Below are 14401 nucleotides of genomic sequence, written 5' to 3'. Positions count from 1 at the left end.
AGCATTAGGAGATATACCTAATGTAAATGACAAGTTAACGGGTGCAGCACACCAACATGGCACATGTATACATATGTAACAAACCTGTACATTGTGAACTTAAAGTATAATAATAATAAAAAAAGGTAAAAAAAAAAAAGTAGACACATACTATAATCACCTTGAAAAAAAAAGAAAGTCTTTCAAAGAGATAAAAAATTCCATATACTCCACTTCCTACAATTCTGGCAGTTTCCAAATACTTTTACTTATGTGAAAATGCTATCATATCCAAGAGTGCCTTTAGAGCTAAGCTAACAGTAGGCTACTGATCTTTAGCACATTGCTTTTTCTGTTGTGTTATTCAGGGGGCTTTCTCACATTTATGTTTCCATTTTTCACATTTCACAACTTTCTTTGGAGCACAGATATTTCAGGAAGATTTTAGAGCCTTTGAATAGCATTATGGACTTTTTTGCATTAATTTTTACTTTTACAAAATTGTGCTAAATATTATTTCTGTTAATTAGTGAGTTTTGTTGGGGGCCCCTTAAATTGGAACCCCAGGCTATGCCTCATTTGCTTCACTCTGGTCCTGGCCCTGAGAGAGGAACACAAAAGGGATGGTTAGAAAAACAAGAACAAATGAGCCTCCCAGAATTTTCTCAAACAACAGGCCAGTTAATTAAGGAAAGTAGATATTACATAGCTAGGTATAATGAACATGCAGTCAGTGGATTGTCTCAGTAATTTATGGAGATAACCACCAACAAAAAGTGTATGTGGGTGGGGACAAAAGAGAGACAACAAAGTACTGCAGGCAGAAAGCTTCCTTTTGCTGATTTTGCCTCACAGAATTGAGAGTTTGTTCTTACACACAAGTTTAATGCCACCTTCCTCTGTCTGCCATGGACCAACAAGCAATATATGCTGAGTTAAACTTACCCACAGACTCAGGCCCAGAAAGTTCTTCACCTTCATCTCTTCCTCGGGGTAAGTGGCTTTAATTTTCCTTTCGGCATTTGTATGTCTTCCAGAATTAGATCTTCCTGTTACATTTATGGCTTTAAATCATTGCTTTAAAGATGAGCAGTAGTTTTATATTAATGTTTAACGGGTGTTGCATGGCTTGCCTGTAGATAATCACAACTTTGGGAAAAAAAATTTAAACCTCATACATTTATTTTTTTCAATCAAGTTAGCATGAAAAGCAAACATCACTTGTCTTACTGAGCCTTGGTTAAAAGACTCTGAACACTTTAGGCTACCCTGGGCACACTGCCTATTGGTTACCCCTGCTCTACAGGGATGGAAAGAAGGAAGAAAGAAAGAAAGAAAGAAAAGAAAGAAAGAAAGAAAGAAAGAAAGAAAGAAAGAAAGAAAGAAAGAAAGGAAGAAAGAAAGAAAGAAAGGAAAGAAAGAGAAAGAAAAGAAGAAAGAAAGAAAGGAGAGAAAGAAAAAGAAAGAGAGAGAAAGGAAAGGAAAGAAAGAAAAAGAGAAGGAGGAAGGAAGGAAGGATGGAAGGAAGGAAGGAAAAATATTTTACATGTATGAACTAAGGAATATTTAAGACACATTGCAAACTTGCTGTAATAACAACCTACGTTATTCCAAATTCCTCTACAAAATATCAATACTATGATTAAGTCCCAGTGCATTTTCATCCATAATATTCCTTTCAGAATACAACGTGTAGGCCAGTTGCAGTGGCTCATGCCTGTAATCCCAACACTTTGGTAGGCTAAGGTGATTTGCTTGAGTCCAGGAGTTTAAGGCCAGCCTGGGCAATGTGGCAAAACCTCATCTCTACAAACAATACAAAAAAATAGCCAAGTGTGGGGCACGTGCCTGTGGTCCTAGCTACTCGGGAGGCTGAGGTGAGAGGATTGCTTGAGCCCAAGAGATCAAGGCTGCAGTGAGCTGTAATTGTGCCACTGTACTCCAGCCTGGGTGACACAGCAAGACTATCTCAAAAAAAAAAAAAAAATATATATATATATATATATATATATACTTTTTATACATATATTTTATATATTTTATATATATATATATACTTTTTATACATATATTTTATATATTTTATATATATATATATAAAGTGTAGGCTTAATGAGTAACATACTTCACTCTCTCAAGAGAGGGGAACACTTTCTGGAAAAAAAATCATATTCAAGATCAAAGATTTGAATATCATTACTACCTGATAGTTTCTAGTTTGAAAAGTATCACAGCTTAGAAAGAGACAAGCCACAAAAATACTCGAGCATATCAGTAACGAACCTACTTACCATTTGTTGAAACTGGCACTTTCCTGTGTCTCTGAAGAGTTAGCATTCTGAGTGAAAGAAGCGGGGAACACCAATGTGAGGTAACACATGATGGATAGCATGGCCTGTGGATGGATGGGAAGAAACTAGAAACTGAGGCAGAAAATCAGCATGAAATTATTATGACACATTATTATTTTCTGATATCTAACTGAATTTACTATCATTGATAATATTACAATTGTTTACCAATCTGATATTCATTCCATGTCATGCCAAGCATTTGACTTGTGCTGTTTTAAGACTGTTTAAGTTTTAAACTATTGAATTCTCAAAGTTTTAAGTCAAGAAGAAAGTCTTAGAGCCGTCAATTAAGTTTCAGTATAATTTTCACATAAGAGTAGAGGAAATCAGAGGGTTCTAATAACTATAGGGAGGATTTGGTTGAGTAACATTTTTTTTTAAAGAAAAGAGTAAGTCTTTCTTTTCCTCTATTCATATCTAGCAAAAGGTGGAAAGTGGGCTTTTGTCAGAAAATGAATATAGAGGTAGTGAGACTCTTCCCAAATGTTGCTATGATCCCAAACCAATGGATGCAGAAATTTTTTCTACTTGGATTGTAATAATTATCCTATAAAATGTCATTCTGAGAGTAAACCTGAAGAAAAAATAAGAGTAGAATAAAGCCAGAGCAAAATATGTGACTATAGAACACTGGTCTGATATTGAATGACAGTAAAACCACTATTGGTCTCTGGCTAAACTGCTGAGGCTGTGGTCACTCTGTAGCAAGCACGGTGATTGTGTCTAAGGCAGTCAACAAAACCAGAAGGAGAGATGTGAGTGATAACCGATCTTGCTTATGGCCAAATGGCCAAGGGTTTGGTCTGTTAGAAAAGTGGATAAGGTGTTTGCAAAAATGCCCCTAGAGTTTATTCATTCATTAAAAAATAAGCTCCTACTCTGCACCAGGCATGCTGTGAATACAGCAGTGAACAAAATAGAGAAAATTATTTTCCTTCATAGAGTTTATAGTAAAATAGAGGCACACTTGTGGAAGACAGTATGGCGATTCCTTAAGGATCTAGAGCTAGAAATACCATTTGACCCAGTGATCCCACTACTGGGTATATACTCAAAGGATAATAAATCATGCTGCTATAAAGACACATGCACACGTATGTTTATTGCGGCAGCATTCACAATAGCAAAGACTTGGAACCAACCCAAATGTCCATCATTGATAGACTGGATTGAGAAAATGTGGCACATATACACCATGGAATACTGTGCAGCCATAAAAAAGGATGATTTCATGTCCTTTGTAGGGACATGGATGAGGCTGGAAACCATCATTCTGAGCAAACTATCACAAGGACAGAAAGCCAAACACCGCATATTCTCACTCATAGTGGGAATTGAACAATGAGAACACATGGACACAGGGCAGGGAACATCACACACCAGGGCCTGTTGTGGGGTGGGGGTAGGGAGAAGGGATAGCACTAGGAGAAATACCTAATGTAAATGACGAGTTAACGGGTGCAACAAACCAACATGGCACATGTATACATATGTAACAAACCTGCACATTGTGCCCATGTACCCTAGAACTTAAAGTATAATAAAAAATAAAAATTAAAAAAATGGAGGCACACCATCAATAAAATAAACAAATAACTAAGTCAGTATAAAAGATGAGACGGTGTTAATGTTATTGAGAAAGATTTGAATATAGGATTTAACTTTCGGGGAGGGTAGCATATCAAACAGAATAATCAAGGAAGGCCTCCCTGAGAAGATGACATTGAGTCAAAACCTGACAGAAGTGAGGGACAAAGACATAAGCCCCTGAGAGAGAAGCCTTCTAGGAAGGTGACCAACAAGTGCAAACACATCGAAATGAAAACACGCCTGTGGTATTGTAGGAGGCATCTGCGTGGAGAGTGAGCGTATGGAGGCCAGATGGGGTGAGGGCAAAATGTGAAACCACTATTGGACTCTGGCTAAACTGTTGAGGCTATGGTCACTCTGTAGCATGGTGATTGTGTCTAAGGCAGTCAACAAAACCAGAGAGATGTGAGTGATAACATCCAACAGAAGTGGGCGCCAGCTTAAATAGGGACATATGAGCCATTCTACAGACTCAGATTTGCCTGATGAAAAGCCATTGGAAGGTTTAGAATAATGAAATGAGATGATTTCACATACTTTTTAAACTCAAATGGAGAACAGCCATAGGTAGGTATTTCCAGATAGCTAACGTCCGCCGGACCCCTGTAGTGATTCATTGTAACTTCATTAATTCTAATGTCACGTGGTGCCACAGAAACACAGTACAGGAGTACATTCCTCCCAGACACAGTACACTCCACTCAACTCCTTACATTTTAGCATGAATGAATAACGATTTTTAAAAGTCACCAAGTTGCCTTTTACCTATAGTTAAAAAAAAAAAACAACTTTTAGAAAAAAAGAACTGCTGTTCATTGAACAGTTACCATGTGCCAGACACTGTGCCCAGCATTTAGAAGAATTGTTTCATATAATCCTCTCCAAAATATTATGACATAGATAATATTCCACATTTCACAGATGAGGAAATCTGTGGGTTATGAAGGTTGAACGTATTTTCCAAAATAACATGTTCACATTCAGATTTGCTAGATCGGAAAGACTGTTCTTAATCAATGTTAGCCTTTAGTAATGAAAATTACTAAATTCATGTTAGTAATAGAATTAGGCTGGGTGCGGTGGCTCACGTATGTAATCCCAGCACTTTGGGAGGCTGAGGCGGGTGGATCACCTGAGGTTGGGAGTTCGAGACCAGCCTGACCAACATGGAGAAACCCGTCTCTACTAAAAAAAAAAAAAAAAAATACAAAATTAGCCGGGCATGGTGGCGCATGCCTGTAATCCCAGCTACTCGGGAGGTTGAGGCAAGAGAATTGCTTGAACCTGGGAGGCGGAGGTTGCGGTGAGCTGAGATTGCACCATGAGCCTGGGCAACAAGAGTGAAACTCCGTCTCAAAAATAAATAAATAAATAAATAGAATTAAGTTAACACTTAAAATAGTGACTATACAGAGCTTTCTCCACTAGACAAACAAACTTAGAGTTTCAAGGAAGAAAACGGTGGGGAAGAGAAGAGACAGAAAGGTGAAATAACGTACATATATAAAACTGGAAGGAAAGCCATGCCAGTGCTGTCTTGGGCTTATTGACTGCATGTAGACATTCTTGTATCACACCAGCTCTCATTAGAAGTTCTAGGCCAATATTACCAAGCTTGGTTTCCTCACATTCAGATATATCCCTGGGGCCTTGGAGTCTCCTCTAGGTATCTACTCCTCCCTGCCCCCCTCCACTGATACAGCATGTCCTAAATAGTACCAGACGATAATCCATATGTTACAACCCTGACCCCAGTGTATTATGGTTCCTCCCATAATCTTTGATCACATCTAACGCTACTAAATTCTATCTCCTCAGGGCCGTTTTAGAGAGAGCTGATTCACTTATATCAGTGTGAGCATCCTAATGTGAGAGATTATCAGGTCTGCAAACTGGACTGCACAACTTAATCCTCAAGGATACTGTACCATTAAAAGTAGAAATGGCTTCATGGCCGTTCTGAAACATATAAAGAGACTAAAGGATAATATTATAGTATATCTGATGCTAAATTTTTTAACATGTAACTCATAGCAAGTAATCACTTACATGGAATAATATTAGAAAAAATAAAAAGGAATAGACAATACAAATAAATCAATAGCTTCAGATAAATTAGAAAGCCTTTATTCATAAAAGCTCCTAGCTCTAATAATAGAATTTATAAAGTAATTTATAATTATAATATATCTAATATGTTAAAAACCAAATGAGAGCAGAGGGAGACTTACAATTAAATCAGAGATAGGGGAGCTATTTAGGCACAACTTCTAGCAGTGTAACTGAGCAATATACTACCAGAATAATTCCTTATCAGAGTTGATTTAATTTTGGAAGCTATATCCCAGTGTTTCTCCAAAATATTTTTATAAATCTCTCTTTATTTTTTTTCTATTAATTCATGTTTTCAAAGATACAGAGCAAAATACATTGATAAAGTTGCGATTAATTTATAACATTTCATCAATATAATCATAACTTTTGAAGAACATGGGAGATTCATTATATAGTAATTGATGTGATTACAGAGAAAAGCAGAGATATCTGACACTTGGTTTAGACTATGCGATGTTGTAGACATAAGCGCATGTTATGTTATACTAGTGATAATATTGAAAAAGGTATGCAGTCACAAAACCTTATCCCTTGATGGCTTGGGATCCCAAGTTGGCTTAGACCCAACTTGGAGATGATTGTTCTAGACAACAGCAAAGCAGAGGATTCCATGTCCAAGAATAGAATTTCTGTATACCACCAGCACCTAACATGGTACTTGGCACAAAATAGAGAGAGCCTCAAAAAATATCTTGACTAAATGAAGGTCTTCCTTCTTGGACAAAATGCTTTGACTTACTTCATACATTAAGACATGCACTTAATTTTTGTATAGCACTTGGCAATTTTCAAAACATCTTTCTATCTATCTCATTTGGTTCTTACACCAATCCTTTGTATACACACATGCATAAGCGTTCATATTTTATCAATGAGCAAACTCTGTTGGATCTGAGAACCCATCTTGCAGGACTCTACTTTTAGAATGATGGATAGAGGTTGTTCCCTGCCCCCATCCCCCAAGCTGAATCTAATTGTCCCTATGTTATCCCAAGTACATTTTTGTGCCAGATGTACTCCACTGAGTTAACCAAGGTTTTTTGTTTCGTTTGTTTGTTTGTTTTTGTGTTTTTCTTTTTAACTTTTCAGATGTCTGTCAGGGTTCACCTTGGCATCAATTTGCCCTGAAACTTAGCTGTGCTGGGATTATTCTCCTTGTCTTGGTTGTTACTGGGTTGAGTGTTTCAGGTAAGTGGGGCACCATCATCTGTTTCATAATACTTACTCTACTTCCATTACGTATCTTAGAGCATCTCTGTAGGGGTGGGTTGCCCCTACACACCTGTGGGTGTTTCTCGTAAGGTGGGACGAGAGATTTGGAAAAGAAAAAGACACAGAGACAAAGTATAGAGAAAGAAATAAGGGGACCCGGGGAACCAGCGTTCAGCATATGGAGGATCCCGCCAGCCTCTGAGTTCCCTTAGTATTTATTGATCATTTGTGGGTGTTTCTCGAGAGGGGGATGTGTCAGGGTCACAAGACAATTGTGGGGAGAGGGTCAGCAGACAAACACGTGAACAAAGGTCTTTGCATCATAGACAATGTAAAGGATTAAGTGCTGTGCTTTTAGATATGCATACACATAAACATCTCAATGCTTTACAAAGCAGTATTGCTGCCCGCAGGTCCTACCTCCAGCCCTAAGGCAGTTTTTCCCTATCTCAGTAGATGGAGCATACAATCGGGTTTTATACCGAGACATTCCATTGCCCAGGGACAGGCAGGAGACAGATGCCTTCCTCTTGTCTCAACTGAAAGAGGCATTCCTTCCTCTTTTACTAATCCTCCTCAGCACAGAACCTTTACGGGTGTCGGGCTGGGGGACGGTCAGGTCTTTCCCTTCCCACGAGGCCATATTTCAGACTATCACATGGGGAGAAACCTTGGACAATACCTGGCTTTCCTAGGCAGAGGTCCCTGCGGCCTTCCGCAGTTTTTGTGTCCCTGGGTACTTCAGATTAGGGAGTGGTGATGACTCTTAAGGAGCATGCTGCCTTCAAGCATCTGTTTAACAAAGCACATCTTGCACCGCCCTTAATCCATTCAACTCTTGAGTTGACACAGCACATGTTTCAGAGAGCAAGGGGTTGGGGGTAAGGTTATAGATTAACAGAATCTCAAGGCAGAAGAATTTTTCTTAGTACATAACAAAAAGGAGTCTCCTATGTCTACTTCTTTCTACACAGACACAGTAACAATCTGATCTCTCTTGCTTTTCCCCACAATCTCAACATAATTTGGCTACCCCAATCTTAGTGTAAAATCAATGAATAAAAAGTCATGAAACAATGTTTCTAACAGTCAGTCCATATCCACTTTGGATACCAGCCTTTCATATTTGTCTTCCTAACTGCCCTGAGAGTCATCACGGGGTATTATATATGTGGCCCAAGAACTTTTGAAAAAAATCACAATTGATGATAACAAAGAAAAGAAAAATTTCCAGTTATTTATGGTTTATAATGTACTTACTAAAATTCCAGATTGCAGTAGACAATCTCTCCCTTGGAACAGGCACAATTAGACTCATTTTGAAGATGATAAAGTTCAGGTGAGACTGTAGGCAATTTAAGAGCTTAAGTAATCCCCTTAGATTGACTTACCTAGTAGATACAGGCAACCTAATGGCTGTGTGAGTCCACCTGTTTTGTTTTTTCTTATTTGTTTCTGTATGCTTCCTGTAGGTGAGATCTTTTTTTTTTTTTTTTACCACTTCGCTAATACTTTTATTTTCTGTCCATATTCAAGCGTGTTGAGATTATCTAGTTTCCTAAAGTAACAAATATAATATATCCACTCCACCACACATTTCAGCATTTAATACTCTTGTTTTTCCTTATGTACTAGTGACATCCTTAATACAGAAATCATCAATAGAAAAATGCAGTGTGGACATTCAACAGAGCAGGAATAAAACAACAGGTAATTGTGTGGCTTCAATTTCCTAAGAATAACTGTTAATATTTGGTAGATTTCATGTGTTACCTTAGGCACAATTCATAACAATCCATATGTTAAGATATTCTTATCATTCTGCTTTTCTGGATTAGAAAATTGAGACATAAAAAGATTCAACAACTTGCTGAGGGTCACATAAGCACCAAGTGATGAGGCTGGGAATTATATGTAAGTGGTCTGACTTATGAGCCTAAGGTTTTAACCAGCAAGGCATGCTGCCTCATGAGGAGCCTCTGCTAGGATACTCCACTGTTGATAGGAAATATGTGAAATATCTGATTATTTTAGTGAGCTGTTAAGTTTGGTCTGAAGTTAATTGATAGAACTTAAACATAGAATGAATTCTTTACTATTTATTATATTTCCTCACCATGCAGCCACATTAGTCTTGTTCCAGTGTGTGTTAATAAAAAAAGGTGACTACTGTTGAGTGACTATAGTGGAATATGATCTGTGTGCACATTCTCACAGAATGGAAGTTTTAAGAAAACCTGAAAGTCCTTCTGGAAAATTCTATCCAATAGATCACATTAAGTAGGTAAATACATCGTTTAGCAATTGGAAATTTTCTTATAATTTTTTCTCCATGGTATTTCTTATTAATTTAGTGAAAATAATTATTTGCTATGCATTTTGTGCATCATTTAAAGTCAGTACTTTTTACATGAGTTTTATATTGTTGCCTGTGCAGTGAAACAGGCACTGGTGATGAATTTAAGGAAACTGAGAAGTAGTGGGAAATATTTCATCTGACTGGCTGGACTTAAGTTATTCTGTCTCTCACTGTCTTAAAATGTAAGATGTGGCAGTTTAAATTATTCTGATGGTGTTTTCCTATTTTAATATTTTATGATTCCATTTATGCTCAAGATAACTGGTCACTAATTCCCAATTCTTGGTACTAGAATGAACAGTAGGTCTCAAAAATCTCAACTTTATAACAAATTCATTGTTCTCACAGTGATAATCAAAAACTTTGAGCATTTATAATGACCTGTGTGTGTGTGATTGGTTGTGGTGTGTCAGGGATAGGTTAGAAATATAACATTTATTTCTTATTTCTGTTTTTTACTTTAGAGAGACCGGGTCTCTTAAACTGCCCAATATATTGGCAGCAACTCCGAGAGAAATGCTTGTTATTTTCTCACACTGTCAACCCTTGGAATAACAGTCTAGCTGATTGTTCCACCAAAGAATCCAGCCTGCTGCTTATTCGAGATAAGGATGAATTGGTAAATCATTAAATAAAATACCTTAATAAAACTTAACACTTTCTTTAAACCATATTAATGTCTGTGCATTAGCCCAGGGGTTTTATGCAATGGAAGTGATGACTTTGACTTCACAATTTGAATGACTACATGGATATGTAAACAAATAATTAAATATAAGGTGATGAATACAATAATAGAAATAAAAACATAGACAGAAATATCACAAAGAAGGAATAATTAATGCTGACGACGAGTTAGGAAAGACTTCAGAGATGAGGTGATGCTTGAACTAGGTTTTAGGGGATCAAACCAGGAATAGATAAGCAGATTCAATATTTTTCTGTTCCATTTATAGATACACACACAGAACCTGATACGTGACAAAGCAATTCTGTTTTGGATTGGATTAAATTTTTCATTATCAGAAAAGAACTGGAAGTGGATAAACGGCTCTTTTTTAAATTCTAATGAGTGAGTATTAGATGAGCTAACTTTAATATTCAATTTATATCAGGTTTACACTGCAAGGTAGTAACACTGAAGATTGAGTTTTGTAGTTTTAATTTGGTTTAAAAACTCAAGAAGTTCTGAATAGGCTAAGAACATGGATGATTTCAAAGTTGGTTGGAAAGTTCTATATATGAAAAGATATCAGCTCTTTATGAGAAAATATATTTTTATCTGCAATGGAGTTTTAGGGGACAGGAAATAGACTAACTTATTTGAAACGGGCACATTAAATTAAAAATAGTGATTATCTGGAGACCACTGGCACACAGAATGTCTTACGTTGTATTTTTCAAACTGTGGGAAAATATACATTAGTAGGTAAAGAGACCAATTTAGTGGGTCACAGCTGGCATTAAAAGAAAAGAAAAAATAGTAAATATCAGAGTGTGGAACCCAGACACCCACGTTGTGACAAAAATTGCAGTATATTTGAACCACTGGTGTGAAAGACAGAGGTACTTGAGACGATGTGATGAAAACATGTCTAACCCACAAAAGAGCTATTTGCTGTTTTCTCTTCAGTGTGACATGCTTTTGTCTTGTGTAAGATGGTCAAAATTACCATCAACGTACTATGAGGCATTTGCGACACAGGCAAATTTCATGTTTTAGCAGAATTCATGGATAATTTTGCAGAAAAAGGCAGGGTGTTTTCTTCCCTCACAAGCGAAAATGTATAGGCCTTCAACCACATTTCTGTAAAGAACTTTTAATGAGTTTTTCAAAAGAGATAATATAAACAGTTATATTTAATGAGTCTGTAAATGATTTAGTCAAATTGGCAGAATTTACATTTAAAATGTATTTTCCGTCACTCAAAAAACAAGAGGTTAAAATCTAAAACATAGGAGAATGTTTTAAGTTTGTCTACATTATCCTAAGATAATTTATTAAGTATGGAAAGTATTAAACACTGAAAGAAATGTTGGCTCAATCAGCAAAGTTTTGACATTATATGAGCCACATTCTAAAATATTTTATAAAGTGTAAGATTTTAAAATAAAGATGATTTAAAATAAGTGTTCTGGACTAGAATAAATTTATGAAAAGCCAAACATACACATTATGTTTAAAAACATCTCTCTTGATTTTTATATTGCTTTCTGGGGGTTATTTTCAATATTTTATTTACAAATAAATGAAAGTAGGTTTGCTATTAATTTATTTTTATCTTTCCACACATGGTATTGGTGAATTAGCATTTATTAAGTATAGTTTGTGTGTGTGTTTCTTAATGGGGTCATAATGCAAAATGTTTATTTTATTGTGGTTCACAGTAAAAAATAAAATTTGAAAACATTGAAATGTGAACATAAATATGTGTAAAGTGGATGGAGGAAATTCAGTTGAACTTTTCATTTTATTCTGAGGAGAAAGATGATGCTTTAAGATAATAGTGATCAGGTAAACCTGGAAGGTATCACGTTATAGTAGAAAAAGCACCAGTTAGACTCTGCTTTTATTTGCAAGGCAAGGAAAGAAAGGGAAGAATCATAATTTTTTTACAGGATTATTTTGGGGGCTACAGGAGACAATGTTCAAGAGCTAGCCAGATGTCTCATCAAGGAAGGCCTGTAAAACCACTGAGGGCCTTTTGGAAAAGGAATTGTTGACTTGGCCAGATTGGCATTTAAAAAAATTACCCTGATAATTGAAGAAACAATTAAAAGGGTGGAAGAGATAAAATATAGGGAACTTTTGCAATAGCCCAGTTGAAAGAAGTTCTTGGTTTGACTAGAAGGTTGGGCAGTAGGAAGAAATCAGACAAGCAGCCCCAAGAGGCTACATGAGAAAATGGAACAAAGGACTAAAGAAAAGCTGTGATGGAGCCCAGCATGCTGCCACCACCTCATCCGTTTGAGACAAATAGGAGAGTCTTGAACTCACACCGTCCTTGCAACTCAACCCCAATACAGCCTGTCCCTTTGTTTGAATTATATCATCACCTCCTACCTGCAGTGAGCCACAGGACTCATGTCTGTTTGAAACTAATATTATGTTTCTGCAGACACCTGTTCACCTCTGTTTGGAATGAGAATGAAAGGAACCTCTGACTACATAACCATGAACTGAGCCACTTTTTCTCACTGCTTCCAAATTCTATAGACCCTGAATATCCATCATGCCTCTAGATATTTATCATATTTACTCAGCACATATTTTTGAAGTATTGCCACATTTTCATATTTCATCTCCATGCCTCCCCTAAATATTAGGTGGCTATAGCCTAAATATTTAATAAAACTGTGGCTCAGTAAAGTTAGGAAACATTTTTAATGTGACCTGTTAGTAGAACAATAAGAAGACTGAATCCCCAGTTTCCAAAGTTTCTTTCTTTTTTTAATGTAATTGTGAAGTTTCTTGTTAGAGGGATTCTTTTCCAATGAAGATGAACTTGGAAGTTCCAGAGGTTTACATTAGCTCTATCTTAAAAGTTCATACCATTATATTTGTGACCGTGTGCCTTCTTTGTTTAATAGTTTATCATTCTACTGCTTCCTGAGAGTCCTAGGAAATAATGGCTAAGTGAGAATAGCTCTGAGAAAATCATAAATGCTAAGACAGACTTTTCTTTTGCTCCACAGCTTAGAAATTAGAGGTGATGCTAAAGAAAACAGCTGTATTTCCATCTCACAGACATCTGTGTATTCTGAGTACTGTAGTACAGAAATCAGATGGATCTGCCAAAAAGAACTAACACCTGTGAGAAATAAAGTGTATCCTGACTCTTGACTATGAATCCCATCTCAATTTATTTGCTTCCCATTACTGATCTCTGTACTTGTAGCTGCACATACTATTGGTACTACCTAATAGTGCCACATTTAGTGGCACAAAGTGAACAATTCTGAGAATTGACAACTGTTATGAATCTTACAGAAGTTCATGTTTATCATATTCATTCTATTAAATGAGGAAACAGAGACATAGAGAAAAACGTGCATCGTTTTAAAGAAACAGTGATATTCTATGGTGAAGGAGTGAAGGATGTCCCCGAATATGCCAGATTGGTATATGATTGTTTTGTGTTTAAAACAGTGGAGAAATTGTAGATTCAGAAAGGGAGAGCTGACCTGTCTCTTCCCGCACGCGGCAAGCCGTGAAGATTCCTCTGGGAGGGCTATCCGAGTCATACAAGGGCAAGAAAATAGCTCTTATCGCCAGAGACCTGGAATTGGATGCTGCAATGAACCTGAATAAAGATACTTAATAAACACCTATCTTTCACCTATTTTACAGCCCCCCGCAACCAATATATCTCCTAGTGACTCCTCTAGAAAATTTATTGCCCCTAGCCAGCTTTTCTTCATCCTGTCATTTCTTTTCAAATTTATCATTCTTGGTCTAAAAAGCATAAAAGCATCTTGCTTAGGCCACTTCTATGGATTTCACTCTCTTGCGAGTTCCTCATGTACATGCAAAACGAATAAAATGTGTATACTTTTATTTTGTTCATCTGCCCGGTGCCAGTTTAGTTTCTAGATCCAATAGAAGAGCCCACTACGAGCTAACAAGGGGCTTTGGAGGTGATCTGTGGCTCCCCTTCAATGGAAAGAACCCCAGACCTGCTGAAGAGAATTAGATTCTAATCCTGACGTGTATGTGTGGACTTCATTGATCCCTTCCATGTAATGGCTCATCTCCAGGAAAATTTTAGTAAATAATTGCTAAATCCCTGTG

General features: G+C 36.8%; 1 protein-coding gene across 1 annotated transcript; it reads left to right on the top strand.

Annotated features, from left to right (window-relative positions):
* Positions 1-810: 810 nt before the first annotated feature.
* Positions 811-14176, top strand: KLRB1 (killer cell lectin like receptor B1). The gene is made up of 6 exons (NM_002258.3): positions 811-972; positions 7128-7226; positions 8886-8960; positions 10074-10228; positions 10566-10681; positions 13306-14176. Exons 1-6 carry the CDS (start codon positions 888-890, stop codon positions 13451-13453), a joined length of 678 nt encoding a protein of 225 aa, NP_002249.1. The 5' UTR covers positions 811-887; the 3' UTR covers positions 13454-14176.
* Positions 14177-14401: the final 225 nt, after the last annotated feature.

The sequence above is a fragment of the Homo sapiens genome, chromosome 12 (assembly GCF_000001405.40).
Source record: "Homo sapiens chromosome 12, GRCh38.p14 Primary Assembly".
NCBI lineage: Eukaryota > Metazoa > Chordata > Mammalia > Primates > Hominidae > Homo > Homo sapiens.
Note: the sequence above shows the minus strand (reverse complement) of the source record. Positions and strands in the feature narration are given on the sequence as shown.

Bases quoted from the DNA above. Each gene is read 5' to 3' on its own strand.
- KLRB1 (NM_002258.3), top strand. From the start codon at position 888: ATGGACCAACAAGCAATATATGCTGAGTTAAACTTACCCACAGACTCA. The intron at 8,961-10,073 runs GTAATTGTGTGG...TTTTTACTTTAG, and splicing joins GAGCAGGAATAAAACAACAG to AGAGACCGGGTCTCTTAAAC. The intron at 10,682-13,305 runs GTGAGTATTAGA...TTTGCTCCACAG, and splicing joins TCTTTTTTAAATTCTAATGA to CTTAGAAATTAGAGGTGATG.